General features: G+C 44.7%; 1 pseudogene; it reads right to left on the bottom strand.

The window, feature by feature from the left end:
- On the bottom strand, positions 592 to 1,990 carry ADGRF5P2 (adhesion G protein-coupled receptor F5 pseudogene 2; annotated as a pseudogene).

Here is a 3,115-nt window from a genome sequence, read left to right as displayed (position 1 = left end):
AACAAACTGGTCTGCATTGTAATTAGTTACGTGCTGCAGGAGAGCAAAGAAGATGTTTTTTCATTGTAGTACAATCAAGCAGATTGTCTGGCATTCACAGGACATTCGTTCTTTGATTTTTGATGTTTCCAGAGAAGCTGCTATGTGGTACACAGGATTTATTTCATTCAAATGATTATTGAGAACCTACTCTGTACCAAGGTCTCTATCAGGCATAGAGGTATAGTGATGAACAAGAAAAGGGCAATCCCTGTCCTCACAAAGACAGGATTTTCATTTAGGAGATAATAGACTGCATCAAGATAATCTTAGACAAATGGGGATTTTCCTTTTACTGGTGTAATCAGGGTATTTAGCAGAGACTGGGAAATGACACTAAATTATAATGTAGGTGATAAAAAGCATGAGGTTCCATAGGATCAGAAGAATGTGTTCTTTCCATCTCATTGAATTCTCATTATTACTAATCTTTAGAGCTGAGGCTTCCTCTGGGCTGAAATCCTTCCCCATTCCTACTCTTGTTTGTGTTTCTATCATTAATTTGTCCTACAGGAATAAAATCTTCCTGAAAGTCCCGCACTGTAAAACTCACCTGGAAGACATTGAGGATGGCAAATACGATATGGAACACAAGGTTGGTCCCTGGGAACACAGTGGTGAGATCAAAATCCCAAGTGAGGCCCCCAGAGTGGCGTGAGGACCCCAGTGCTCTTGCTGATCTGAAACAGGCTGCTCTTCTCCTGCTTGCATGGCTTGTCTCCAATGGAAGGCCTCAGGATCTTGGTGATGACCACAATAGTGATGGTTATGTTCACCACCACAATGATCATTGCTGGGATGGCAAAAGCCAGCAGGGCCTTGGTGTCCTCCCAGTTGAGCCAACAGACATTCTTCCTCATATAGACTTCCCAGGGCTGGGTGGCTCCCAGCACGATGACAGAGATGGCCGGTAGGGCAGCCGTAGCCAAGACAGAAGGCAATAGCTTTCTGAGTGGACCTGCTTGTTTCGTGCAGAATGAAAAGCAGGCGATAGAACAACATGAGGCCCAGTGTCAGCATCCAGAAGAAGATGCTGAGGTAGAAGAAGTGGATGAAGAAGGTGGCAGCCACACAGGCTGTCTTGCAGAGTACGTAGTGATTGTCCTGGATGGCAGCAACCACAATGAACCAGGTGTTGGCGACCAGAAGGGAGGCAGCAATATTCACTATGCAGGTGTGGTGCATATAGGAAGTCTGGTTCTTGGTCACTGATTTCCACACCACAGTTTCCACAACTAGACAGGCCGCCAAGCTGAAGATGGAAAAGCCCACCCCAACGTAAGAAATAATATCCAGTAGTATTCCCAGGAGAGAACCAGGATTTGGGGAGTCAGGGGACATGAGAATGGAGAATGATGTTAGGTGGTCACAGATACAGGTGACATTGTCCCCATCACCTTCTTCAACATAGCACCCACTGCTGTCCCACCCCCCCGTGTTGTTGGAAAGCCTGAAGTTCCAGAAGACACATGTTGTTTCGCCGCCTGAAGGGCTGTTGTTCTTAAAAGTCATTGAAATCTTGAATGGCATAGTCACATTGTGGCTGACAGTGGTCGTCATCACTAAGCTCTCTGCAAAATTATTTTCCTGGATACCCTGGGCAAGGATGGCTTGGAGAGTTGGGAAAGCCATGGTGACAATAGGTGAATCTGATGGCAAGTTTTCTAGATAGCTCTTGTCAATGACCACATTGCCCCAGAGGTCAAAGTATGGGAAAACAAACCTCTGTTGATAGGTTTTTGGGTGGCTGGACATGATTACCATGCTGCTCATCTGCACATTAGTTTGGGAGAAGGACAAAGGAGGGCTATTTCCTAATTGTAGTGCTTGGGAAAATCTTTCCACTGAATGTAGTAGCTGTGAACTCTGATTGGTCCATTGCTGTTGTAAAACCTTCCAGGTGTTCAAGACGGGCTTCCCAAGGATGACATTAACCGTAGAGAGCACGTGCTGAAAGTGAAATGGTATGGGGTCAAACTAACCGAATTCTTTCAATCATAAAAAAGAAAAAAACAACATCTTCCTAGAAACTGATTGCATAAAGGTAAGAGGAAACGAGAAAACAAAACTGAGACATCACAGGCAGTGGGGATGTATGACCTTCTTATGGCAGAGTTTAGCAGAGGATGGGTCCCCAAGACTGAAAGATGTCAGTAAGCACTTAGCAATGGTGACAGTGAGAGTCACACCCACTACACACCCTACTCTCTAAGGTCAATTCAGCAGGCTGGCAGGGATGTTTACTATTTTATTTTATTTTATTTTAAATCTTAAGCCTGTATTTTTAGTAGAGATGGGGTTTCATCATGTTAGTCAGGCAGGTCTTGAACTCCTGACCTCAGGTGATCCATCTGTCTCAGCCTCCCAAAGTGCCTGCAATCCCAGCTACTTGGGAGGCTGAAGCAGGAGAATCGCTTGAACCTGGGAGGCAGAGATACATTTTTCCTGCTGCCCACTCTTCTCCCTGCTGCAGTCCCCTTTCTCCTGAGCACATGTCTGGTTGTAGCTCTGGCCTTCCAAGATTATAGCTCCTGCTGACTGGTGACTTACAGGTGTGCATATCTCATGACCTCTGGAATAATGGCTGGCAGTCTTTTATGTCTACACCTTTGCAGAATTCAGGCTCCTCTCCTCCCAGCCTGGTGGTCTCTCATTAGCTTTGTAAAGGTGGTTGGGTTTTGGAGATGGACTATTATTATTTAAACTGTAAACTACATGTCTCCCAAAGCTAGCCCATCCTAAGCCCAGTAATAATTAAGGCAACATGAAGGTAAAATATAAGAGGGAAGTTGGCTATATTAGATCTTCCCCACTGCCATAATTTTCTCACTGTTATAATTATTGCAAATGCAGTTTCAATATGAGTTGTTTTTCAATTCAACCTCTGGCTTTCTAATTAAAAATGATTAGTTAAACACATGTGCATCTTCTTCCTATTCTACCAACATCCTATTGAAATGACCATGTGATGGACAAAAGAGAAGATATGTGTCCATGCTGAGAACAGGATGCAAAACCCTCAGCAGACTAGAGGGCAGGAGGAGATGGGAACACACTGGGATGTGTAGCCCGAACG

This window comes from Homo sapiens, chromosome 9 (assembly GCF_000001405.40).
Source record: "Homo sapiens chromosome 9, GRCh38.p14 Primary Assembly".
NCBI lineage: Eukaryota > Metazoa > Chordata > Mammalia > Primates > Hominidae > Homo > Homo sapiens.
This window is presented reverse-complemented; position numbering and strand designations above follow the sequence as displayed.